The sequence below is a fragment of the Homo sapiens genome, chromosome 15 (assembly GCF_000001405.40).
Source record: "Homo sapiens chromosome 15, GRCh38.p14 Primary Assembly".
Lineage (NCBI taxonomy): Eukaryota > Metazoa > Chordata > Mammalia > Primates > Hominidae > Homo > Homo sapiens.
Genome location: NC_000015.10, coordinates 80,163,604 through 80,189,949, shown reverse-complemented (window position 1 = coordinate 80,189,949; position 26,346 = coordinate 80,163,604). Strand labels below are relative to the sequence as shown.

The 26,346-nt window shown below is 48.8% G+C and overlaps 1 protein-coding gene across 3 annotated transcripts in view, besides 3 other annotated features; it reads right to left on the bottom strand.

The window, feature by feature from the left end:
- Positions 448-617: an enhancer, noted in NCBI's record as "experimental_41453 CRE fragment used in MPRA reporter constructs". NCBI's record gives its function as "activates a minimal promoter by MPRAs in K562 erythroleukemia cells, with activity observed for both the introgressed and non-introgressed 15:80481760 variant alleles {active_cell/tissue: K562}" and the evidence as "EXISTENCE:reporter gene assay evidence [ECO:0000049][PMID:34662402]".
- The window catches only part of FAH (fumarylacetoacetate hydrolase), a 34,161-nt gene continuing 10,815 nt past the window's right edge, over positions 3,001-26,346 (bottom strand). For 2 of the 3 annotated variants that reach the window (NM_001374377.1, NM_001374380.1), the window contains exons 7-15: positions 21,801-21,898; positions 21,634-21,686; positions 17,702-17,801; positions 16,806-16,936; positions 14,859-14,934; positions 12,367-12,413; positions 9,725-9,826; positions 8,791-8,908; positions 3,001-3,820 (exon numbers count right to left, since the gene is read on the bottom strand). In NM_001374377.1, coding sequence (NP_001361306.1) covers positions 3,741-3,820; positions 8,791-8,908; positions 9,725-9,826; positions 12,367-12,413; positions 14,859-14,934; positions 16,806-16,936; positions 17,702-17,801; positions 21,634-21,686; positions 21,801-21,898 — 805 coding nt within the window. In that variant the 3' untranslated portion in view covers positions 3,001-3,740. The remainder of the gene's footprint in view (positions 3,821-8,790; positions 8,909-9,724; positions 9,827-12,366; positions 12,414-14,858; positions 14,935-16,805; positions 16,937-17,701; positions 17,802-21,633; positions 21,687-21,800; positions 21,899-26,346) is intronic. The other variant, NM_000137.4, reaches the window with a different exon arrangement.
- Positions 3,283-3,783: an enhancer, noted in NCBI's record as "H3K4me1 hESC enhancer chr15:80478509-80479009 (GRCh37/hg19 assembly coordinates)". NCBI's record gives its function as "activates a minimal SCP1, AML or CMV promoter by ChIP-STARR-seq in naive H9 embryonic stem cells {active_cell/tissue: H9 hESC(naive)}" and the evidence as "EXISTENCE:reporter gene assay evidence [ECO:0000049][PMID:30033119]".
- Positions 21,618-22,118: an enhancer, noted in NCBI's record as "H3K27ac hESC enhancer chr15:80460174-80460674 (GRCh37/hg19 assembly coordinates)". NCBI's record gives its function as "activates a minimal SCP1, AML or CMV promoter by ChIP-STARR-seq in primed H9 embryonic stem cells {active_cell/tissue: H9 hESC(primed)}" and the evidence as "EXISTENCE:reporter gene assay evidence [ECO:0000049][PMID:30033119]".

Here is a 26,346-nt window from a genome sequence, read left to right as displayed (position 1 = left end):
TCCCAGGACTTTGGGAGGGCAAGGCAGGAAGATCACTTGAGCACAGGAGTTCAAGACCAGCCTGGGCAACATAGTGAGATCCCGTCTCTATAAAAAATCAAAAAATCACCTGGCCATGGTGGTGTGCACCTGTAGTCTCAGCTACTTGGGAGGCTGAGGTGGGAAGATCACCTGAGCCAGAGAAGTCAAGGCTGCAGTGAGCCAAGATTGTGCCACTGCACTCCAGCCTAGGTGACAGAGTGAGACCCTTTCTCAAAATTAAAAAACAAAACGAAACAAAAAAACAGAAAAAATCCTTAAAGTTCCCTTGTCCTCAAAAACATTGTCTTGGTTCAAGTCTACACTCACCCTCAGGAGAGCTCTCAATGTACAGTGTTTCAAAGGTAAACCAATGTGTGTGAGAGGCCTCAGGACAGAGAAGTCCCATGGTGGGGGCAACAAGGCTTCTCTTCCTCCAGTCCCCTCTGCAATAGGGACAGGGGCTCCCAGCCCCTGGAACCCCTAGTGCCTGCCCTGGCCCCGGGCAGTAGCGTGCCCCTGAGCCTAGCTCCCTTGCCACCCTACAATAAAACCAGCAGTGGGCCCCATCTTGCCAGAAACACCTCTGGACTGACTCCTCCTGGTCAGGTAAAGTTTCAAATGAACTCTACTCTCAGTTTCACAGTCATCCATTCATATTCCGAATGGACCACTGGTTAAAAACAGGAAGCATAAATGGAATACAAATTAATAAGGAAGATATAGTGATAACTATGGCCAACCTGCCTTGAGATGCTCATCATCCCGTCTGAAAGCTCCATTCATCTGGTCAAAATGCTTCTAGTCCTTAAAATATCACTGTCAAAAAGAGGAAATTTGACCCTGAAAGTCATTCTTGTCTATTTCATATTATTACACACAGATAGGTTTCAATAAAGTAGATCTCCAAAACTAAAGACCATTAAAGTCACTTGTCATGTGGGGCTGGCAGTGAGCATTTCTGGAGTCGGAGACAGTAAAACAAAGAGGCTCTTGTCGCTGAAGATTAAGGAAAAGTAATTGCCAAGTAAAGCCCAGGCTGGACCCAGAATTAACATCCATGAGTTTGGTTTCTTAAGTGAATCTGATGCCAGGAACGTTTCTGGCTCTTTCTGCCCTGTGTGTGTTTCAGACTCTGGGGCAGGTCCATTGGGTTTTCCCAACATCACCAAGCCCTTTAAGTGCATTAAATGCCCAACAAGGGGATAAGCGTGTGATCTCTACTGATGACACCAGCATTCTCTGGTGCCAGTGGGAACAAGTGGATTAACAATGATTTTAAGTGACCTTTGCCTGTGACCCAGAGATCTCCAGTAAAGCCCTACTGTGCAGAGCACGAGGGCCTTTTATCCATGTGCAGGTGAGGGCTTTGAGAAAAAGATGAGTCACTCCTGTGGGTTGATGCCGGGAGAGAAGGCTTTAGGAACAAGGAGAGAAGGGTTTAGGAACAATCTCAGAACACAGCCTAGAGAGCAGGGGTTTTAGCTGAGTCAACAGAAGCAGATGTAGCCCTGGGAACATAAGCCCCAGGAATTCAGAAAAATCCTGGGGAAGGCTTTGGTCTTCCAAATTCAGAGAAGTGTTTGCATCACTGATCTGGAAAGTAGCATCTGGGAGATCCTGCTGACATCTGCCCTATACAGCATTTCCACTGAAATCAGCAAAGCACTGGAGAATATGGCCCTAGAGCATAGCTCTAGGAAGTAAAGTCCACGGGGAGCAGTTCAGCCTCAGAGCATGATATTTCCCAGCCTGTGTGTAGCAGAGACTACTAATTGTCCCCCAGTATCCATTCTCCCCTTCTTTTAGGGCAATCAAACTAATTTTCACAGGGCAAGCAATGTGTTTAGATGAAAGACTACATTTCCAGGCTTTCTTGTAATGAGGTGTGTCTCATCAATGAAATCTAAGACATGTGTGGTATGGGACTACCAGGAAAGCTGCTTAAAATGACCTAACTCAGGAGGAAGGAGGGCTCTTCTGCCCTTCCATCCTCCCAGTCCTCACCTCTTTGTTGTCTCTTTCTGCTGGCCTGGAACTTAGATGTACTAGTTGGAGCTCCAGCAGCCATTTTGTATCATAATGTAACCCTGAGACTAAAAACCACATACCGACGATGGCAGAGCAGAGGTATCTTTAATGACACTGTGCAGCTGCCACACTAACTCCAGCCTTCCTGACCCCAGGTTGCTTTTATGTAAGGAAGAAATACCAGCCTCCTTGATGTTCTTTAGAAATGATAAGCATATTCCATCCTCAGGGCTTTGCACGGGCTGATTCCTGTGCCTGGAGGACTCTGTCCCCAGATATCCATCTGGCCTGCTCCCCTCACTCCTTCAGCTCTCTAGCAGAAATGTACTATGGGATTAAGGCCTTCTCTAACCACATTAACAATAGCATCCACATCTCCCAATTGTCCATAAAACTTATTACCATCTGTCATACCACATGTCTTTTCCTTATCTGTTTATTGTCTATCTCTTTCCACTCGAATGTAAGCTTCAAATGGGCTATTCTGTTTACTGCTGTGCCTCTCATCCTTAGAACAGTGCTTAACACACAGAAGGTGCTCAATAAAGATTTGTTGAGTGAATGAATGAATGGTGCGATCTGACGGATGGGCTCTGCATCCTCAACTATCCCCCTAGGCCCCGGTATAAGGCTCATCAGGCCCAGGAAAGGTCGCAGGGCATACTCCCCTGCTGTCATCACCAAGGAACTAGGGTAGAACCAGGGCTGCCTGTGTGCAATGGGTTGGGACAGAAGAGATGGGGCAGAGCTCACTCTCCTGACTCTGGTGGGCTTGCAAGAGGTGAAAAGCTAGGTCCTTTTCTGCCATCATCACAGTTCAGGTGCTCACCCATGACTCGGAGGCTCTTCCCAAGGCTTACAGTGTGGAGACGCAGCCACGGGGCCCATGAACCAAGCCTACAACCCATATGTGCTCATCCGTTAGCCCCAAGAAACACTGGACATGCAGGGTGCTGTGATGGGCAGTTTTCTGTATTAATTTGGCTAGACTAAGGTACCCAAATATTTGCTCAAATGCTATTCTACATGTTTCTAAGAAAGTACTTTTTAGGTGAAATAAAACTTAAATCAGTGGAGTAAAGCAGAAGACCCCCACAGTGTGGCTGGGCCTCATCTAATCAGTTGATGGCCTTCACCAAACAATGACTCACTTCCCAGAGGAAGAGGAAATTTTGACAGCAGACTGCTTCAGACTCAAACTGCAGCTCTTCCTTGGGTCTCCAGCCAGCAACCCACCCAGCAGGTTTTGGGCTTGCCACCCTCCAGAATCCCAGAAGCCAATTTGCTTAAAATCAATCAATCAATCAATAAATCGATCTCTTTCTCCTTGGTTCTATTTCTCTGGAGAGCCCTGACTACTACAGGTGCCAGTCTCTTTTCAAATTCCATGGAATACCAGGAGGCCTGGGATGTCTAATAAGAAAATCCCACAAAGACCCCTGACCTCACTAATAAGAGTGAGAAAACATATTAATGAATATCTGGCAGGGAGGCTTTACACACCTTGACCCACTGGATCAAATCACGATCATAAGTGGACACAGCTGCATCTGCGGCAGTGCAGGCCTCAGAGCACAATGGCTTTATTTGTCACTGAATGGCGGACCAGGCCTACAGCCCGAGGGAGGACCCCAGTCACAGGGTTGAAAGGGGTGCTTGAGCCCTTTGTTTCCAGAAGAGCAGAGAAAATCTCATGATGGCAGGAGAGCAGGCAGCACTTTTCCAGCACACTGGCCAAAGCCGATGCGGTAACCATCCCCCTGGCAGTACCCTGGAACAGAGGAGGACAAGGATCAGTCACAAAGTTGCTGGGCTCACCGGAACCAACACCTAGGCAGCGGCAGTGCCCGTCAGCACACAGCTGGCCCGAGGCAGGAAGGTGCCATCAGAATCACACACACATATCTTAAACACAAGAATAACCCTCCACGGAAGCTGGGCAGAGTTGCACGCAGGAGCCCTTGGACTAGAACCCGGGCCCACCCCACAGCCAGGGATCCTCAGAGGCACTGCAAGGCTCAACAGCTTTCCTGTGGCTAATATGGTTTGGCTCTGTCCCCCGCCAAACCTCATTTTGAATTATAGCTCCCATAATTCCCATGTGTTGTGGGAGGTACACAGTGGGAGATAATTGAATCATGGAGCGGTTTCCTCCATACTGTTCTCATGGTAGTGAAGAAGTCTCATGAGATCTGATGTTTTTATAAGCGGTTTCTCCTTTCACTTGGCTCTCATTCTCTCTTGCCTGCCACCATGTAAGACATGCCTTTTGCCTTCCACTATGATTGTGAGGCCTCCCCAGCCATGTGGAACTGTGAGTCCATTAAACCTCTCTTTCTTTATGAATTACCCAGTCTCAGGAATGTCTTTATCAGCAGTGTGAAAACAGACTAATACAGTGGTCAACTCTCCCCACATGGGTTTGGGTTCAAATCCTCGCTCTGCCAATTAGCCTGAAGCCAGAATGCCTGAGGTCAAAGCCTGGCTCCTCTACTTATTGGCTCTGTAACCTTGGGTCCCTCTAGACCTCAGTTTCTTCATCTGTGCAATGGATCTTATGATAGTGCCCACCGCACAGGACTGCTGCAAGGATGATGGGAGCAAATGCATAGAAAACTCTGAGAACAGCCTCCAGTCCCTATTTGAAATTCCCTGTAAGTGTCAGTCATTACAACCATTATGAGCTGGGTGGCTGGGAACAAGCTGTTTGACTTCAGAACTCACCTCCCTCATCTGCAAACAAGAAAAACAACGCTTATCTCTCAAGGTTGTAAGGATTAGACTAAATATTTCAGTGAAATTCCCAGCACATCTCAGAAACTAATAAATATTAGTTTCCTTCATTTAATTCCATTTCAACAAGGATGATGGAAAAGCAGAGAGAAGCCCATCTCTGCCCTTGAGAGGGGTCCACTTAGAGGGAGTGGGAGGTCCAGACGAGAGATACAGAGAAATGCTTACAAGGTGCTGAGCGAGCAGCATGGAGGGAAAGGGAGCAGGAAGGGGGGATATCTTAGCTGGGCCTTGACGGGTAGCTAGGAGTTCATTAGGGAAGACACATGAAAATGCCATTCCAGACAGAGGGAAGAACACGTGCAAAGGCTCAGACACTCAGGCACGAGATGCATTTGTCACATCTGTTCAGTGAGGCTGTCCTTTGGGGGGCCCTAAGAAGCCCCGTGACCCACATGCTGACAACATGCAGGGATGCCCTTTGTCGAGAGCAACGACCTCACCTATTCTGTTGCTCATTTTCATTATTTTCTGTCAGTCTCTTTTCCACCTCAATGCTCAGAAATATCCACACCACTGGGGTGAAAAAAAAAGCCTATTAAAGTAAAACTGGCTCCCAGCAGAAATTTATTAAACATCTATCAAAACAACTAACTCGGAACTGCAGCATTTTTAAAGAGTCTCTCCCAACCATGGTCCTGAAGGAGAAGGGTCACTGCTTCTACACCCTGGGACCCCTGGTCAGCCTTGCGCAGGAATTCTGTGCCAGGCAAGGCAAGCAATAATGCTGGGGAGAGAAACTGGAATAAACAGAGACACAGGAACACCAGGTGAAAGACGCCACCACTGAGAGACGCAGGGCAAGAAACGAAAGACTTTTGCTCAGATATTGTTTCCAAATAATGTCAGATACCAAGAAAGAATCCACAACAAATCATAACTATCAACAAATCAAAGATCTGAAGGAGAGTGAGAAATGCATGTGTCCAGCAGTGCAGAGCCATCCGTGCAAATGCCTGCGAGAACACATCCTTGCAAGTTGCAAGCTCAACACCAGATGGGGTTTGTGAGCGAGACTAGGGGATGGATGAGTTAAACCAAGACGATCAGAGATTTTTGTTGATATTTTTGGTTTGTTTACTTCACCTGTTCTCTTGCTGAACATTTTGTGGTTTTTGGACTCTCTCAGAAATGAGAATTTCATCGCGCCATTTAAAGAGGCAACAGGACACAAGGGTTCAGAGCACAGCTCCTGGAGCCCAACTGCCTGTGTTCAAACCCTGGCTCTACCCTTTATCGCCTGTGTGATCCTGGGTAAGTATGCATCTTTCTGGGCCTCAGTTTCCACATCTGAAAAATAGAGACAGTAAGAGTAGCTGCCTTGTTTGGAATAGAAAATGTATTGCAGGTAAAGCACTTGGCACAGTGTCTGGCCTGCAGTAAGTGCTGCGGCGTTGGCTGATGCCAGCACTTCTGAATGTTCTATCGCGTTTCCAATGGTTAGAAATTGATTTGGGGAAGGAGCATCCGTGAAGAGCAAGCAGGGAAATGAGAGGCAGCCATAAAGGCATCTGAGCAGGTGCAGAGAAGGAGGAGGAAAGCCGGGAAGAGCTGAAGAAACCATGTGTGGCTTTCAAGCAAGAAAGCAGCTCAGCAGGGCCACGTGACCAGTGAAGTCGTAGAAGGTGAGGGCAGAGCCGTCCGCCAATGCGGGGAACCTTTGCACAAGGTAACACAGCTGACACACCACCTCCACCTGCCCGCTCCTCTGCTTACCCCCTGCTTAGCCCAAATTCTAGCAATATGCATTCTTTTGAGTTTTTCAGTGGTCCCCTTCTGTATGAAATTCTCTTTTTTCTTTTTATGAACACATAATGTATGCCTCTCCTCTTAGCAAATTATAATTCTTCTTTCTTGGTTCCAGGGGATTTTGCCCATCTGTTCCCATTTCCCTCTTCACTTGCCAACATGTGCTTCTTCAGATCCAAGGAACTGCCTTTCCCTGAATTCCTCTGCTGGCCTCCAAAAATCCTTCCGGAGTAAGGCGTTGTATACACAAACAAACATGGAAATGACTCTCATGGCATCTTGGCTCCTTTCTCCTTCCTTCTCTGGCTCAAATGTCAAGAACACATGTGCATTCCAACTGCTAGATACCAGCCTCCTTTCTCCCAGGCCCTGGACAGCTGCCTGGTCTAGCATGGCTTAGTCAGGGGCCCTTATCACACTGACAACAGAGAGTTAAAGCCATCATTTTCTCTTCTGCCACCATCTCTTTCCTTCCTTTCCCCAAATCAAAACTTCAGAAAATGCTTTCACTCAATCCACAGAACCGTGACCAAAGGCCTGCGGTAGGTCTGGCAAGCATTGCAGAAAGACTAGAAACAAACTTGGCAGGGGAATCAGAAGACCTCAGTTGCAGACTGGCTTCCCCAGTTGTGGGACTTTTGTCAAGTAACCTGCCTTCTATCAGCCTAAGTTTTCGACTCTGCAAAATGGGGGCAATGATATTATATCATCAAAGGGCTATTGTGAGTAGAAAATGAAATAAGGAAGGTGGACATGCCTGCAATATGGTTGGCTCCTAGCAGATGTTCAGTAAATAGTCAAATTCAAATTAGAGAGGTATAATTAGGCTGCAGAAATGGGAGCAAAATGGGTATTTATTGATTAATAATGGGTATCATCTGCTGTTTTGAGCTCTGCCTGCATCTTCTCTACCAAATCCACTTTATTCAAAGAACTAACCAACAGCCACACTGGGCATGCACTATGTGGCTGCTACTTGGACTAAACTTTGCTCTCCAAGAGCTCTGGAGTGGACTAAATTACGGCCAAATCCCTAGGACCTGTGAATGTTACCTTATATAGTAAATTTTCTGGAGATGTGATTAAGTTGGGATCTTAGAATGAGGAGATTGTCTAGGTGGGCTCTAAATGCTATCACATGTGTGTTATAAGAGAGAGGTAAAGGAGATGAGACAGAAGACGAGGCGACAATGTGACCGTGGAGGCAGAGATCAGTGTGATGTGGCCACAAGACAAAGAGGCTTCCACCAGAAGCTGGAAGAGGCCAGGGACAGACGCTCCCCAGAGTTTCCAGGAACATGGCACTGCCAACACGAGGATTTTGAACTTGTACCTTATAGAGCTGTGAGAGAATACATTTCAGTTGTTTTAAGCCACAAAGTTTGCGGTACTATGTTACTGCAGCCACAGGAAACTAACACAAGCTTTTAGTTAAGCACGGAAACTGACACATACACAATTAGCGCGCCTGTAATCCCAGCTACTCGGGAGGCTAAGGCACAGGAGAATCGCTTGAACCTGGGAGATGGAGGTTGCAGTGAGCTGAGATTGTGCCACTGCACTCCAGATTGGATGAGAGAGCAAGACTCCGACTCAAAAACAAAAAAAATAATTAAAGATGAGGTAAACTGAGTCTCAGAAAGGCTAAATAACTTAATGAAGGTCACACAGCTGGTGGGGGACCTGGGAGTTCAACTTGAACCTTTCCAGCTCTAAAGAGTGTGCTGCTAACCATTATGGTGCCCTTTCCCTCTATTAGTAAAATGTGGTAGGCAGAATGGCACCCCCAGAAGAATTAAGAGGCACCCTCACCTCCTTGGAACAGGCTGCTGCGAAGCCTCAGTCACTAACTCAGCTGAACCTTCCTTGATCCTAGTCATAGGTCACCAAGTGTCTGCACAGGGCGTTTGCTGCAAAGTCTAGACCTTGAGGAACCTGCCAGTATTTTATAACTATGCTCAGGGAGAAGGGAGACCAAGCAGAATGTCTACAGTCTTTCTGGCCTAGGGAGACTCACACTTGAAGTCCCGGGTAGCCATAGCTGTGGGGAAGGACAGAACAAGCAGGCAGAGACTCTGGGAGGCAGAGTCAGGATGCGTGAGAACAGATGGCTTCATGGCCAGGTAGGAGCGCCCCGCAGCTAGAACAGTGCATGGCGGGCAAGGAGGAAGACGAGCTGCTGGGTTTGGCAGCCCTCACCTGTTATGATGACTTCATCCCCGTCCAGCAGAAACTTCCTGGTCTGACCATTCCCCAGGTCTATGGGCTTCGTTCCCTTCCACGACAGTTCCAACATGGAGCCGAAGTTTTCTGGCTCCTTCATCACAGGAAAGGGAAGAAAGAATAACATGAATTTATGCCTTGGCTCTGGCATGGACCATGCTCAGCAAGACCTGGGAGTCCCGAGAAGTGGCAGGGGGCCCTCATGCCCCTCAGAGACCCTGCCTCGGCCTTGGTGGGATCACTGCAGAGATGCCTTTGAGACATGGAACTCTGCCCCTTCTTCCTGTGGGGACAGCAATGGTTCCACTAAGGACATCGCTTGTTTAGGAATCAGTGAATCCCTGACCAGAGTGCCCAGTGCCCCCTGCAGCATCCCCTCCCTGCTCTGGAGGCTGCAGTTTGCCCAGATATCGTGATGCTTAACACCCTCCTGTCGACAGCTCAAGGAACAAGAGGGCTCGGCCAGCCCCCTGCAGGAAGTGAGTGACACATGCACCACCCCAAGGTCATCATCTCTGAAGGTTCTGTGACTCCCGCAGGCTTACAGGGGGACAAGCGGGTGGGAAGGGGCACAGCAGCATGGCCACCTCATCCTGGGAGGGTGTAGTGTGAGATGGTGACAACCAAGACACTATCACTGTCTCCTGACTCCTCCCCACGTGTCACTGCGCTGCTCCCCTACAGAGGCAGAGACCCAGGCTTCCGTTCTCACACCAGTCTCTTTAGGTTTGAATTTGGATGAGAAGTCCCTCCTGCACCCAGAGAGAAAGGCTACGAGGAAGACAGAGTTGTGAGATACACCCACCTCGGGCCTGAAATCTCTTCTCGAGGCTGAGCTGAGGGCCCTTGGGGCTGTGTGGGGAGCAGGGATGCTCTGCGTGGGCAGCCCTCAGTGCAGCCAGATACTCACCGGCCCGCTGATGGTCCCAGAAGCCAGGAGGTCCCCCGGCCGCAGGTTGCAGCCGTTGACAGAGTGGTGAGTGAGCTGCTGCAGCATCGTCCAGTACATGTACTGCAGGCAATGGACGCGAGGTGGAATGAGCAGCGGCAGGCTTAGCCTAGCATCCCGGAGGCAGCTGGGCACAGCCTGCCCTGCTCACGACCGCCTTCCCTGGCCTTTCCCCGGTCCCCAGCTCCCCCAGCCAGCTCTCTCCAGTCCCTTATAGTAAGGACACATTGTCCTCCTGGGGAGCTGCCCAGAGACCTCCCCCAAGCTCTTCCATCTCCTTCACAAACTCCAACCTCAGCTCCTCTGCTACCTCAAGCCCACACTGACCACCTTCTCCAAGCAGCATCCCCTAAGGGCTGACCTTACTGCTCAGTCCCTCAGCCTGCAACATGCCCTTGTGTACAACACTCCACTCTGCCCTGGGAACACCCTCCAGTCCCGTATTGGGAGAATCTAAGTCCACACCACAGCAGAGGCTTCTCGTGAGCAAAGCCCTCGCTCCCATTCTCCCATGCCGGGCCTTGGGATGGACACTGGGCAATGGAGCTGAACGATTCAAACACGATGTCAGGGCAGGCCAAGGAGCGAGGGAGAGCTGTGGGCGGTCAGGCTGTGGGCAGAGGGGGCCAAGGCACCACGTGCCCACCGAGACGCTCAGATGCAATGCACGCCCATGCCTGTCCCAGGCCACAGCTTCTCACATTGCCATTCCTACAGCCACACATCCCGGCATAGGAAACCCAAAAGATGGATTCTTGCCCACGAGCCCCTGCAAGGAGGCCCCTTAATTTCTTCTTACTAGCCCTAAGGAGCCCAGAATAATATTAAATTAGAAGGGAAATTAGGGAAACTAGAAATAGTTCAATGATTCAGAGGATATTCAAAAGGCCAAGAAACAAATGAACCATAAACATATGACTAACATGCCCAGCTGCATTAGTCATTAGGGAAATGCAAACTGAAGTCACAATCCCAGGCACGGTTTGAACGAAAAGGCAAACACCACCAGAGCTGACGAGGATGTGGAGCAGGCAAAATGCTTACATGCTGCTAGTGGGAGTATATACTGGTATAACCACTTCAAAAAACTGTTTGGAAGTACCCCTAGGCTGAGTCTATGTGTACTCTATGACCCAGCAAGCCTATTACTGGATATACACTCAATAGAAATGTGCACATATGTGCACCAAAAGGTGTGTACTAAAATGTTCACAGTAACTCTGTGATAGCCAAAAACAACGGAAACAACCAAATGTCCATCGATTGTGGAATTGATGTGACTTACAAAATAAGTCAGTTGGCCGGGCGCAGTGGCTCATGCCTGTAATCCCAGCACTTTGGGAGGCTGAGGCGGGCGGATCACAAGGTCAGGAGATCGAGACCATCCTGGCTAACATGGTGAAACCCCATCTCCACTAAAAATACAAAAAAAAAAATTAGCCGGGCGTGGTGGCGGGCACCTGTAGTCCCAGCTACCCGGGAGGCTGAGGCAGGAGAATGGCATGAACCCAGGAGGCGGAGTTTGCAGTGAGCCGAGATCGCGCCACTGCACTCCAGCCTGGGCAACGAGCGAGACTCCATCTCAAAAAAAAAAAAAAATTAAGTCAGTTGTGGAATATTTATACAGTGCAACACTATAAGGCAATGAGAAAAATGAGCTGTCACTGCAAAGAGCAACAGGGTTGAATCTCACAGATCTAACACTAAAACAAAGATGCCAGCTACAAAAGAATACATGCTACTTTATGATGCCATTTCTATAAAACTGAAAAACAGAAAAAAAATAATACATGGTAGCAGAGGTCAGGAGAGGAGTGACCTTTGCTGGAGGGAGTGATGAAGTGACCTGGAGGGCCCCACGGGGCTGCTGAGGTGCTGGAAATTTTCCATTTCTGATCTGGGTGCTGGTTGCACAGGGATGTTCATTTTAGGAAAATTCTTCAAGCTGTACATGTATAATATGCACTTTTTTTAATTTTTATTTTTTGAAATAGGGTCTTGCTCTGTCACGCATGCTGGAATGCAGTGGTGTGATCATGGCTCACTGCAGCCTCGACCTCCTGGGCTCAAGCGATCCTCCTGCCTTAGCCTCCCAAGTAGCCGGGACCACAGGTGCATGCTACCACGCCCGGCTAATTTTTTTACTTTTTGCAGAGACAAGGTCTCATTATGTTGCCCAGGCTGGTCTCAAACTCCTAGGCTTAAGCGATCCTCCCACTTTGGCCTCCCAAAGTGCTGGGATTACAGTAATGTGTGCATTTTTATCTATGTATATTATGCTTCAATTAAAAGTTCACTTAAAAAATAAGTCACTCTCATCAATACAGCCCCTGGCAGGACAGGATAAACCAGGAACTAGACCTTTACAGGAACACCTATTTTCCCCCAAGAAAATCACTGGCCACATTTATGCAGCCTCTATCTCGAGAGAACTCTGTGACCCCATGGCCACTCCTAAAAGAGACAGGCCATGGAAGCTCCAGGCCCACAGGCTGACCCATCATCATATCCCAAAAGGAATGCTCTCCTCCTGTTCCTGCCAGGAAGAAAAGTCTCTCTTTCCCTCAATTCTAAAAAGCAGTCTGATCAGCGTCAAAGCTTACCTTAAAATTGGACTTGCATATGGTAGCCGCCTGGCTCATTCCTTCTCCTGTTGGAAAGAAAAGCAATATTGATGAAAACTTAATTCCATGCATCAGGGAGGAAAATAAAAAAAGAATTGTTCTGTGGCTGAAGCTTCCCATTGTCCAACATGATTTCACTTAGAGTCTGTGAAACAATTAGCTCCTAGGACATCAGAGCTGGGAGGTCCAGGGTTGGCCAATACATGCACACAAGTCATCACTTCCTCCTCCCACGCCTACAGCAGGCAGCATTAATTGATCACAGCACATGTTTGCTCTGAGTCCATATGTAGCCTCAGAATCCTTCTTAACACAGTGATCCTGGCACCCGCAAATCCACTAAAGATAGTGTGCCATTTGAAAGCTACTTGTGACCTTTGATCAAGGATAACCTGCTGTCCCCTCAGGAGTCCTCTGGATAGCTGGGTCATCTGTCCCCTGCCGAGCTCCTCCAGTGATGGGCAGTGTGCTACTTCACAACGTACTAAACAATATTTACTAAACATCTACTACATGCAAGGTACCGGGCTGTTGCCGTTCCACTTCTGAACAGCACTAATAAGTAGAAAGCTCCTCTGCTCCCTCAAAACCTGGCTTCCTCCCTTGGTCCTAACTTCCCCTCTGAGGTGGCACAGAACAGGTGTGCTCTTCAGCCATGCGAGGTCTGGGTCTGCCAAGGCTGCTCCTCCCCAGACCCTTTCGCCCAGATCCCAACTCAGAACATCAGAACTGCAAATGCAGGACTACATCTCTGGACACTGTGCTTTCTGGATAATCTTGTCCCTTTTCTACCAGTGGCCTCCCCCGGGCGGGCAGGTTCACCTCTAGGCAGCCAGGAATACTGAGGACAAAACCAGATAGAAAGTATACTCCAAGCACGCATTGTGGGTGGCAGGAGGCCAACCTAGAACTTGTGACACACTTGGATTGAGTCCCAGCCCTGCCATTAGCCAGGTAGGTGGCTCGGGGTGAATCCTTTTCCTCTCTGAGCCTCAGCTTCCTGACCTGGAACCTGAAAGAGCGGGCCCAGCACAGCTTCCCAGAGGGCCCTGGGCAGCCAGGAGGCTCTCTGTGACAGCTCTTTCTCCATGGAGCATCCTGCTCCCATGGCGACAGCTCCTGCAGTGTACTGCGCCTCCTGACAGGAACCACCTCATGAAGGGCCGAGACCCTGGAACTGACAGTGAGACAGACATGGCAAAGCCTGGAGTGTACAGACAGAGCAGACAGAAGAAAGAAATGGAGCTGGCCGGGCATGGTGGCTCACGCCTGTAATCCCAGCACTTTGGAAGGCCTAGGTGGGTAGACCACCTAAGGTTAGGAGTTCAAGACCATCCTGACCAACATGAAGAAACCCCATCTCTACTAAAAATACAAAATTAGCCAGGCATGGTGGCGCATGCCTGTAATCCCAGCTACACAGGAGGCTGAGGCAGAAGACTCGCTTGAACCCAGGGGCAGAGGTTGTGGTGAGCCAAGATCGCACCATTGCACTCCAGCCTGGGCAAGAAGAGTGAAACTCCATCTCGGGGGAAAAAAAAAGAAGAAAAGAAAAGAAAAAGGAATGGAATGGAGCTAAAAAGGAGATTTGGCCAGAGTGTGGCTAGGAGGTCTGTGTGTGGCCACCAGGCAAACCCTCCCCATCCGAGGGCCCCCGTTGGGATTGGAAAATGACACCTGACTCTTTCTAGGTACAGACCCTGTCCCAGACCTTTGCATGAATTGACATGTTTGGTCCTCACAACACACCATGAGGTCAACGCCGCTATTATCCCATTTCATAGATGACAAATGAGGACATGGCCAGGTTTGGCAACTTGCCCAAAGTCCCACAGCTGAGCAGCAGAGTCATGGCCTGCAGAGCCAGTCTCTTTATTACCAACGCCCCATTGGGCCTGTTCGCGGAGGCGGGCTGAGCAGCCACAGGGAGATGTGGGCCCTGTCTATGTCAGGGCTGGCCCAGGGTGGGGATCTCGGGTCTGTCTGCAAGACACTCAGGGCTGGCCCATGGTGGGAATCTGGGGTCTTGATGCGCTGGCTCTGTGTGGCCCCAGGGGCTCAGCCAAGCGAACAGACCCACAAGGACATGCTTTCAAACAGGCACTCAATGAAATGTGCCACCCACCACGGAAGTGAGGGTCAGTGGCGATATGTGAGCAGGAGCCAGGCAGCCCCTGGAGAGGCTGGGGAGGGGATTCAAGCAGAAGATGGAAGTCCCGGACTCCATCCTTTCAGCCCTACCACTGAGAGCTCAGTGACAGGGTTAATGCCCTATGGGCCCAGTTAGGTTCCCAGTGAGCACCAGGGTGTCCCCTCCCCTCCCCTCCTCTTTCCTTTAGACGAGCCACACACATCTCCAGGGCTGTAGCACGTGCCCTCACCCTTGCCAAAGCTCAGGAGCCTTCAGGACAAGGCACACAGGCACACATTGCCTCAGAGCTCCTGGCCATGTCAGTCCCCCTACAACATACCTTTCAGGTTAACAGAGAGGTTGATGTCAAATGTGTAGGGCTCGTCATGGCACAGATACGGCAGGGGCCTGGGGTCCTGAGAGGGCAAAGCACAGCACAGAGGTCACTGGCAGGTGGGCTGAGCTCACCCGGCTGGGCCCCCATACCAGCCAGGCCCCCAGCAGCACCTGCTCCCCTAGGCAGAGGGTCTGAGACAGCAGGAGCATTCCCTCTCCAGGGACCCAGCACTGTGTCCCTGGATAGCAGTAGGGGGGATCATACTGTGGGTCTCTAGGAAATGCAGCCAAGGAAGGGGCATCAGCAGGTCAAAGGTCACAGGAGCCAAACCAGAGATGTTCCTGAAAGCCACAGGAGGGGAGAGAAAGGGAAGGTGGGCAGCAGACAGGCCGAGATGGAGAACAAAGCCTGGCCTGTGAGGAAAGGCTGGGCCTGAAAGCGCATTGCAGGGCCCCTGGAAGGCAGAGGGGTCACAACAGAAGTAGACAGCCCTGGCTGGTGCTGGAGCCAGCTAGGGAGGCAGCTTGGATGGCTGGGCCAGAACGCCTGCACTCCGGCCAAAAGCAGTGTTTTCCAAAGCATGGTACATGAGTCACCCACGGGACATGAGATCGTTTTTGGTGATACTAATGGTTATGAAACAGTGTAGCTAGTGATGCCAGTAGGAATATAAAGTTCCCTTCTTAATATATTAAGTTTAAACTGGGAGCCACTCTGAAGGAAAACATTAAGTAAATAATAGTTCAGAGGGGGAATAGTAGTGTTGTACCTAAATGGTGTTGGGGAAGGGCTGGCACAGAGGAAGGCAGGCAAAACCCTGTGATGACCGACCCGGAAGAAGGCAGATGACTGGAGGACAAGCAAAGAGAGGCTGTGGCCTTGCAGCCCTAGGGAGACTAGACAAGGCCGCTGCCAGCTAGAGAGAAAGTCAAGTCCTGGCGACTGAAAATGACCAGGGTGGGCAGGGGGTGCTGTGGTAGGGAGCAGCGAGGAGAGAGCAAGGGATGAGGGTGAAAGCCCCACAGGACTTCACTAGAACTGGCTTGCAAGGAAAGACCTCAGGGTTGTTTGTAGCACAGCAAACATGAGATGACCCCAGAGGCAGAGGAGCATGGGAGAGCAGTGTGGGTGCAGGACCAGCACCGGGTGTTGGTAGAGGCCCCCAGCAAATGCGTGGTGAGATGCTCAAGCGAGGATGTGCAAATGGCTGGGAGCTCAGCCTGGATCCCCACAGGGAGGTCAGAATTGGAGAGGGGCATCGTGAGGACTCAGAGACACTGGAGAACGAGGACAGGTCACATGCCAGAAACCAAGGGGTGAGGGAATGCCAACAAGAGTGAGGGGCCACAGGAAGTCCATGCTGAAGGGGACACAAGGTCATGACACTGACTATCGGGTCACAGGTGACTCTGGCCAGGTGTTGCCAGTGATGGAGTGGGGCAGATTGCAACAGGCTGAGAAGGGAGGACTGGAACCAGGGGTCAAGGCCTAGACCCAGTGGTAGACCAAGCGGTGCCGGGAACCAGAGGCTGCAGGGACTCCCTGTTGCTGGGCTCCAAGCTGCATTCTATGAGTTGGGGTCCAGGTGGCGCCATTTGCACAGAACAAGATTTGATGGCCACCTGGGAGGTTGTGCAATGTTGGTACCTGCAGGGACTCCTCCTGCCAACTGGCCAGATCCCCCGGGTCTTGCAAGATTCTTAAGGTTACAAAATTCTGTGTTTTCTCCAAGAACTGTGCCAGGGCCAGGGAAACCACAAGGGAGAATGATGCCCTGGCTGCCTGGAAGTAATCGTGGCCAGGAACTCCCAGGCACTCTGCTGTGGGCATGCCGTGGGCACAGAGCTTCCCTCCTGATGGTCTGCATGCCTGGCATGTCCACTCAGTGGGCAAGCAGCCTCAGAGGCAGCAGGGCTGGGTTTGGGAGCTTCCTGCAGAGAATGTGCTTACCTGCTTCGGGTTGGGCACAGCAAAGGGCATGAGAGCATCCATGGGCACCACCCACGGAGAGACAGTGGTCCCAAAACTCTTCCCAAGGAATGGCCCGAGAGGGACATACTCCCACTTCTGAATGTCTCGTGCTGCAGAAGAAGGGCACAGCCAGGACTTACAAAGGCTGATCAGGGCATCTCCCAACGACCCCCTCCTGCCCTTGACCAAGGAGCAGAGACACCTAGCACTGCCATCTCCACAAAGATCAGCCCCAGTCAGGCTGCCCCAGGACAAAGGGGCAAGAGCATTCAATGCCAAGGACAGAGGTCCTTTGAGGGCACTGTGCCAGGTTACAGCAAAGAGAAGGATGACCAAACGGTGGTCAGGATATCTCCCAGGAAGGGGCTGGAAGCTCATTCTCAAACTATGAGAGAGACACTTTCTGGGGCTTATGGTGCCATCTTCCTCCCACGTATGGCAAAGGGTTGAGAGCTCAGGCTCAGAAGCTGGACTGTTTTGCTTCAAATCTTAGTTCAGCAACTAACTGAAATCTCCCTGTGCCTCAGTTCCTCATCTGTAAAATGGGAAGATAATATTGCACATACCGTGTAGGGATCAGCGGGAGAATATACGAAGGGTGTTAAGCACAGGGCCTGACACATAAGTGCTCAGTAAATATTAGTTATGATGTCAGCCGTGTCCCTAGCCACTCGAGAAAATTGGAGCTCAGAGGAGTTAAGTGAGTGGCCCGAGTTCTTAGAGCTGAAAGTCTGTTTGATACCCAGACCCCCACTCTCAGTCACTGCATCACCTGCCACTTTTGACCTGCACCAGATCTTCAGCTTCTATGAAATTGCCCCAAGTCCCCAGCCTCCTCCCCGTCATCTCTACAGGAGCAGAGCTCCAGTAATTACCACTCCAGTCGTTCATAAGGACCATTCCAAAAATGTGCTCATGGGCCTTGGAAATGGGGATCGGCTCTCCCAATCTGTTTCCAGGGCCTACAAAAAAAGCCTTACATGGGGGAGAGTTCATTAGAATCTGGAGCTGATCTGCCGCCCAGGTCACTTGTCACCTAGAGAGCAAAGGTCAGGTATTTCCAAACTCCAGCCATGGACCAGGACTGCCACAGGGGCCTGGCATGAATCCACTGTGTTTCTAAGTCAGAGGTCAGATGGACGCCTCAGGAAAGCAGAGTGCAGTGGTGTGCCCTGCCCCCGCCATCGGCCTTCCTTCCACTCCCCTGAGCTCCAAAGCAGCCTCCCCTCCCTTCAGTGCATCCCAGGCCACTCTGCTCTTTCCTCTTCATCCCATACAGCCTTTGCCTTTCAAGACTTGACAGCCACATGAGGCTTGTAAAACTGAAACTATCAGGGTTTGTATTCATGTCATGAAAAACCAGGCCAGGCACTGTGGCTCACGTCTATAATCTCAGCACTTTGGGAGGCTGAGGTGGAAGGATCACTTGAGCCTCGGAGTTTGAGACAAGCCTGAGCAACATAGTGAGACCCCACCTCTACAAAAAATAAACAAAATTAGCCAGGCATGGTGGCACATGTCCGCAGTCCCAGCTACTTGGGAGGCTTATGTGGGAAGATTGCTTGAGCCAGGGAGGTCAAGGCTGCAGCAGGCCGAGATCACGCCACGGCACTCCAGCCTGGGTGACAGAGCAAGACCCTGTCTCAAAAAATAAAAAAATAAAATAAATAAAAATTTTCATTGCTCAATTCCCACCTATGAGTGAGAACATGCAGTGTTTGGTTTTTTGTCCTTGCAATAGTTTGCTGAGAATGATGGTTTCCAGTTTCATCCATGTCCCTACAAAGGACATGAACTCATCATTTTTTATGGCTGCATAGTATTCCATGGTGTATATGTGCCACATTTTCTTAATCCAGTCTGTTGTGGGGTGGGGGGAAGAGGGAGGGATAGCATTAGGAGATATACCTAATGCTAAATGACGACTTAATGGGTGCAGCACGCCAACATGGCACATGTATACATATGTAACAAACCTGCACGTTGTGCACATGTACCCTAAAACTTAAAGTATAATAATAATAAAATTTAAAAATAAAAATAAAAAATAAAAAATAAATTTTTTTAATGAAAAATGAAAAACCAAAAGACTGCCTCCTTCATGCAGCAAATAGTACCAGAGAGAGCACACCCCACGGCCTCTAACCCCTATCTGTCATCCCACTACCTCTAAAGAAAAACAGCACCAACGTGATGTCCATGAACCAGCAGACTAGCCAGGCATCATTAGAAAGAAAAATTTGGGAAAATCTCTTTGAAAAACATAGACTCAGCCATGACATTTGCAAAACTTAGTCACCATTTTATTTGTTCTGTGACAATAGTTAAACATTGCAAATTTTTCATCAAGATGAAAAAAAGAACCCAAAAGCACTAGTCCAGGTGACCTGGGCTCTCTGCCCCAACCATTTCTCCACATGCTGACTCTCTGTCTTTTCTCTCTCCCTCTCAACAGGTGAAGTGTCTGCCTGCAGAGTCCTTAGTTCTCCCAGAGAGAAGACCATGGCCCCAAACCAGGGCTCAGATGCCCTGCTCTGATGAATCTCAGCTGGGGGTCCTCCTCCCGCAGTCTCACATAGTACCCTTGCTAAGGCAGGAGGAGGCAGAGGGCTGGCAGGGAATGCCCTGCTATCCACGGGCTATTCGGCAGTGCCCACTCATTTCCCTCCTCTGGACTGAATCCAGAGAAATCACAGGGAAGCCCAGGAGAGACAGGGAGCTCCAGAAAAGCAGACGGGCCTTTCAGCCTGCCTCCACCAACCAGGGCTTCCCACTGTCTCAGCCTGACTCGGTGGCCCCATGACAGCTTCTTCTACACCATCAGTGATGAGGCACTCAGAGCTTCCTGAGGCAACGCCTAAAACTGTAGGTGCTGACTATGGGAAAGCCCCCTCCATCTGCCTGTCTGCATTTCCCACACGGAGACTGACTCCAACCTTGGGCATCAGACAACCCAGCAGATGCTGAAGACCCTGCCAGGTCCCCGGAGCGCTGCCTCCCCCAGGTCAGCTCCTCCTTTCCATCACTTCCCTGGTCCCCTCACCTTGGGGGCTGCCCAGATTTCAGTGTCCCCTCTGAAAAATGGGCAGCATGAGGGATCCTCAGGTGGTGGGACCGACTGTATCAACATCAACATCCAGGTTGTGATAGAGCACCATGGTTACGAAGGATGTTGCCACTGGGGGAGACTGTGTGAAGGGTATTGGGATCTCTGTACTATTTCTCACAACTGCATGTGAGTCTACAATGACCTCAAAATAAAAAGTTTAATTTAAAAAAGTGTGCAGCCCTGGCCGAGCGCGGTGGCTCATGCCTGTAATCCAAGCACTTTGGGAGGCCGAGGCAGGTGGATCACGAGGTCAGGAGATCGAGACCATCCTGGCTAACATGGTGAAACCCTGTCTCTACTAAAAATACAAAAAATTAGCCAGGCATGGTGGAAGGTGCCTGTGGTCCCAGCTATTCGGGAGGCTGAGGCAGGAGAATGGTGTGAACCCAGGAGGCGGAGCTTGCAGTGAGCCGAGATAGTGCCACTGCACTCCAGCCTGGGTGACAGAGTGAGACTCCATCTCAGAAAAACAAAACAAAACAAAACAAAACAAAAAACAAATAAAAAAGTATGCAGCCTAAAGTGACCACAGTTCTGAGGTTGTATGGGCCCAGCCATGGGGCTGATACACTTGACTCTTGTCACTCGTGGTAATTATTATTTTTGGGTTTTTGTTTTTTGTTTTTTGTTTTGAGACAGAGTCTCGCTCTGTCACCCAGGCTGGAGTGTGGTGGCGCGATCTCAGCTCACTGCAACCTCCGCCTCCTCAGTTCAAGCGATTCTCCTGCCCCAGCCTCCCAAGTAGCTGGGATTACAGGCACCCACCACCATCCCCAGCTAATTTTTGTATTTTTAGTAGAGACGGGGTTTCACCATGTTGGCCAGGCTGGTATTGAACTCCTGACCTCAGGTGATCCATCCACCTCAGCCTCCCAAAGTGCTGGGATTACAGGTGTGAGCCACCACACCCGGCCAGGTAATTATTTTTTATAAAGTCACCATGAACACAGAATTAGCAAATATAGAATGACTTCCTAGAGGAAACACAGGATTAGGTTCCTTCAAGCCTTTGGTCAGAAAATTTTTATCAACTAATCAAAACCTAACTATATAGCCTGTTTTATGTGTGTTTCTGCTTAAAAATGCTTTATGTAATATATTTTGTTGATTCATGAACATTGAGCTGAGGCAGCAGCACTGTAACTTGCCTGAACAAAGCTTACTAACACGCATATTCTCTCCATAAGGCACGTCACAGTCTTCCTGTGCTAGGGACACTAGACGGCACTTTAGCACAGCACTTGGGGTCATTATAAAAAAACAATGAAACAGCCAAAAAAGCACAGATCTGCAAAAAACATGGCACCGAATAGACTACAAAGGACACATGTTTACAGCATAAGCTGAGACAAGAAGGCAGAGTAACACCTTGTCCAGCCTCACCTAGGAACATGCTCACCAGGCAGCTCAAATGTTTCACTGCCCTGCGCATGTCCACACATGCCCACAAAAGCTCTGTGAATATTAATTCTGGACTTACAAATAAATATTAGCAAGTAGTTGTGAATTCTCAAATACAGAATCTGCAAGTAATAAGGATCAACTGTCCTTCTGATGGCCAGGTGGGGACACAGAGCGGCTGCCGATGTGGCTGAAGAGGAGGGGAGTGGGCGGCTCATGGTGCGGGGAGCCATCCCAAAGGGCTCTCCTGCCGGGTGTCTATAGATCCCATGGCAATAAAACATCAAGCTCACTTACCATTTCCAGCTCCATGTCCAAGAGCTTGCAGGCACCATATACGGGAGGCTTAGCTGGAATAACACCAGAAAAAAAAAAAAAACGGTGCTGTGAGTGAGGCCACAGAACTCTCTGTGTGGGAACAGAGAGCTGGGTACCAGCAAGGCCTGGACGCTGCGGTCACTCACAGTCATCAGGTTTCATCTGTCCCATGGGCCTTCGGATTGGGGTGCCAGACACCACGACAGAGGAGGCACGGCCATGGTAGCCCACTGGTAAGTGCAGCCTGAGAAAGGAAGGCAAGAGAATGCAGGGCATCAGAGCTGTTATATGTTGTCAATTAACTTTAAAAACTTCAAAAACTAGAAACAAAGAGTCGCCACATACACATGGCTCAAAAATCAACAGGTGCTTACAAGTTTCCATCCACAGATGAATGGATAAACAAACTGTGGTACATACATACAGTGGAATATTATTCAGCCTCAAAAAGGAAGAAAATTCTGGGCTGGGTGCAGTGGCTCGCGCCTGTAATCCCAGCACTTTGGGAGGCTGAGGTGGGCAGATCACATGAGGCCAGGAGTTCGAGAACAGCCTGGGTAACATGGTGAAACCCCGTCTTTACTAAAAATACAAAAATTAGCCAGGCATAGTGGTGCACGCCTGTAGTCCCAGCTACTCGGGAGGCTGAGGCAGAAGAATCGCTTGAACCTGAGAGGTGGAGGTTGCAGTGAACTGAGATCGCACCACTGCACTCCAGCCTAGGCAACAGAGCAAGACTCCATCTCAAAAAAAAAAAAAAAAAAAGATACAGCCATGTCCTAACTCCCAGAGTCTTTATACATGTAATCAAGTTAAGAATTTTGAGACACGATCATCCTGAATTATCCAGGTGGGCCCTAAATCCAATTAGAAATGTCCTTATAAGAGACAGAAGAGAAGAGAAGATGTAGAAAGGAGGAGAAGGCCACGTGAAGACAGAGGCAGAGACTGGAGTGATGCAGCCACAAGGAACGCCTGCAGCCCCCAGAAGCTGGAAGCAGCAAGGACAAGGACGGTCCTAGAAGCTTCAGGAGGAGATGGCCTTACTGACACCTTGATTGCAGATTTATGGCCTCCAGAACTGAGGGGATAAATTCCTGTTGTTGTGGCTTTTTCTTACAGCAGCCCCAGGAAATGGATACAGACCCATACCACACCTCACACATAAAAGGAAATCCAGATGGATTCAAGATCTAAATGTACAAACAAAGGCTATTACAGGCACTAGAAAAAAAAAACACAAAAACACAAAAAACTTCCAAATTCTTGGGGTGGAGAAAGCCTTTCTAAACATTACACAAAAGTAAATGCCATAAGGAAAATGATTGGCATGCCTGACTTTATGAAAATGCAAAACTCTAGGCCGGGCACGGTGGCTCAGGCCTGTAATCCCAGCACTTTGGGAGGCCGAGGCGGGTGGATCACAAGGTCAGGAGATCGAGACCATCCTGGCTAACAGGTGAAACCCTGTCTCTACTAAAAATACAAAAAATTAGGCGGGAGTGGTGGCAGGCACCTGTGGTCCCAGCTACTCGGGAGGCTGAGGCAGGAGAATGGCGTGAACCTGGGAGGCGAAGCTTGCAGTGAGCCGAGATGGTGCCACTGCACTCTAGCCATGGCGACAGAGCAAGACTCTGTCTCAAAAAAAAAAAAAAAAAAAGAAAATGCAAAACTCTGTATCTAGAAAGACTGGCAAACAAAGAAAAAAGATAACATACTGGGAGAAAATATTTGCAATGCATTGCAACAAAGGGTTAATTTCTATCACTTATAAAACACTCTTGTAAACTAATAATAGAGAAATGACTGTATATATAAACTGGCAGAGTATGCAAAAACATCTGTGAAAAAATATATAAGAAGGCCGGGCACGGTGGCTCATGCCTATAACCCCAGCACTTTGTGGGGCTAAGGCAGGCCAAGGTGGGCTGATCACTTGAGTCCAGGAGTTTGCGACCAGCCTGATCAACATGGCGAAAACCCATCTCTACAAAAAATACAAAAATTAGCCAGGCATGGTGGTGTGCACCTTTAATCCCAGCTACTTAGGGGGCTGAGGCAGGAGGATGGCTTCACCTGGGAGGTCAAGGCTGCAGTGAGCCAAGGTCATGCCACTGCACTCCAGCCTGGGTGACCAAGTAAGACCCAGTCTCAAAAAAAAAAGAAAAAGAAAATATATGTATGACACCGATTAACAGTTTTGTCTCTGGAGAAGGGAACTGGATGGTGGCCCATAGGTGGTTGAGTTCTGTTTTTTTCATTGTTTACCCTTAAGTACCTTTTGAATTCTCAACCATGTATATATATATTGACTGTTTTTGTTGCTTTTAATTTTTTAAATGTTTGATAAATTATTTTGTAATATTTATGATATACAAAAACATGTAATAACACAAGTCACCATGCACCACCAAGGAGCTAAAGAAATAACAGTTCACTTATCCAGTCCAATGCATCCTTGGGATCCCTCCCTGGTCTCACTCTCCTTCCCTCCCTTCCTGCCCCTCACCCTAGAGGAAACCAGCATGGTCCTCATTTCCCTATATTTCTATACACTTTTATTACTGTACCTTTTTTTTTTTTTGGTGGGGGGTGGGGTTTGAGACAGAGTCTCGCTCTGTCGCCCAGGCTGGAGTGCAGTGGTGTGATCTCAGCTCACTGCAACCTCCACCTCCGAGGTTCAAGTGATTCTCCTGCCTCAGCCTCCCAAGTAGCCGGGACTACAGGCGCCCGCCACCACACCCAGCTAATTTTTTTTTTTTTTTTTTGAGATGGAGTCTCGCTCTCTCACCCAGGCTGGAGTGCAACGGCACAACCTCAGCTCACTGCAACCTCCGCCTCCCAGGTTCAAGTGATTCTTCTGCCTCAGCCTCCCAAGTAGCTGAAATTACAGGCACCCGCCATCATGACCAGCAAATTTTTGTACTTTTGTAGAGATAGGGTTTCACCATGTTGGCCAGGCTGGTCTCAAACTCCTGACCTCAGGTGATCCGCCCGTCTCGGCCTCCCAAAGTTGTGGGATTACAGGCGTGAGCCACCACGCCTGGCTGCTAATTTTTGTATTTTTAGTAGAGACAGGGTTTCACCATATTGGCCAGGCTGGTCTCAAACTCCTGACCTTGTGATCCACCCACCTCAGCCTCCCAAAGTGCTGGGATTACAGATGTGAGCCACCGCGCCCAGCCCTACTGTACTGTATTTTTGTATCTTTTTATAAAAATGATATTTTACTGTGTAATTGTCTTGTATTACCTACCCCAAAAAACTTATTTTGTAAAAGACTGAGATAGATTTAAACTTATCTACATGGAGATATGTCAATGATGAAGTAAAAAAAGCAAATTTCAGCATGCCCTCGTTTTGTTAACTAAAGAAATAAAATGCATATGTATGCGTGCATACGTGTGGTCATGCATGTGTAACCTGGAGCAAAGTACAGGAAGCGGCACATCCAACTTGTTCAAAGTAGTTGCCTCTGGTGAGTGGCTGAGGAAGAGCTCCCTTTTTTACCCACCTTGGTTCCTTTATTGGATTAAATTATAAAATTCCATTGCATGCAATTACATGGCATGTAATAATTCAAACAATTCAGATGAAAAAAAGGAGTTAGTAATCTCTCCCCACCCGGCCACTCCCCTGAGGAAAGCAATGTTAATCTGGAGTCTAATATTTTTTGCCTTTCTCTATGCTCATACCGGCCTATGGAACTAATGTATGCATAAGTGTGTGTGTGTGCATGTGTACATGCGTGTGTGTGTGTGTGTGTTAAGCTGAAAAATAGCCCTCCAAAAGATATCCAGATCCTAATCCCTGGAGCCTGTGGATATTATTACATGGCAAAAAGAGTTTTGCAGGTGTGATTAAGTTAGGGATCTTGAGATAGGGATACTGTCCCTGGTTATTTGAGTGAACCCTAAATGTAATCACAAGGGTCCTTATAGACAGAGGCAAGGTCAAAGGAGGAAGTAGGAAATGTAACAGCAGAAGCAAGTGGTTGGAGTGATATGAGGAAGGGGTCAAAAGGCAAGGGATACAGGCAACCTCTAAAGCTGAAAAGTCAAAGAAATGGGTTCTCTCCTAGAGCCTCCAGAAGGAACCAGCCCTGCTGACACCTTGACTTTAGCCAGTGAGACTGATTTTTGACTTCTGGCCTCCGGAACTAGAAGAGAATATATTTGTGTTTTAAGCCACCAAGTTTGTGGTAATTTGTTACAGCAGCAACAGAAAACTAATACAGTGTGTATGTACATATATATTTTTTGTGCTTTTTTTATAAAAGTGAGACACACTTTACCTAATTGCCTATAGTTTACCTATTTCACTTAACACAGATCAGTGCACATCTTTCTTGATCTAAATCTTTCACTAGCTGCAAAACATTTCATATTGTGAATAGACCAATTTTTCAACCATTCCTCCACCGATAAGCATTCAGATTACTTCCAGTTCTGGGCCACTAGAAACTCTGCTAATTAACATCCTTGCTCTTGGATACAACCCACTGGTGCTTTTATTTCTGTAGGATAGATGCATGAAAGTGAGCATTGCAGGTCAAAGAGTAGACACATTTTTAATTGTAAATGTTTACATATTTTCTGTAGTGTTTGGGTTAATTCCAGTAAATATATGTTACCTTTATAATAAAGACTATGTACATAAAGCTAAAAAGTCACAGCTGTGGGCCATCTTGCA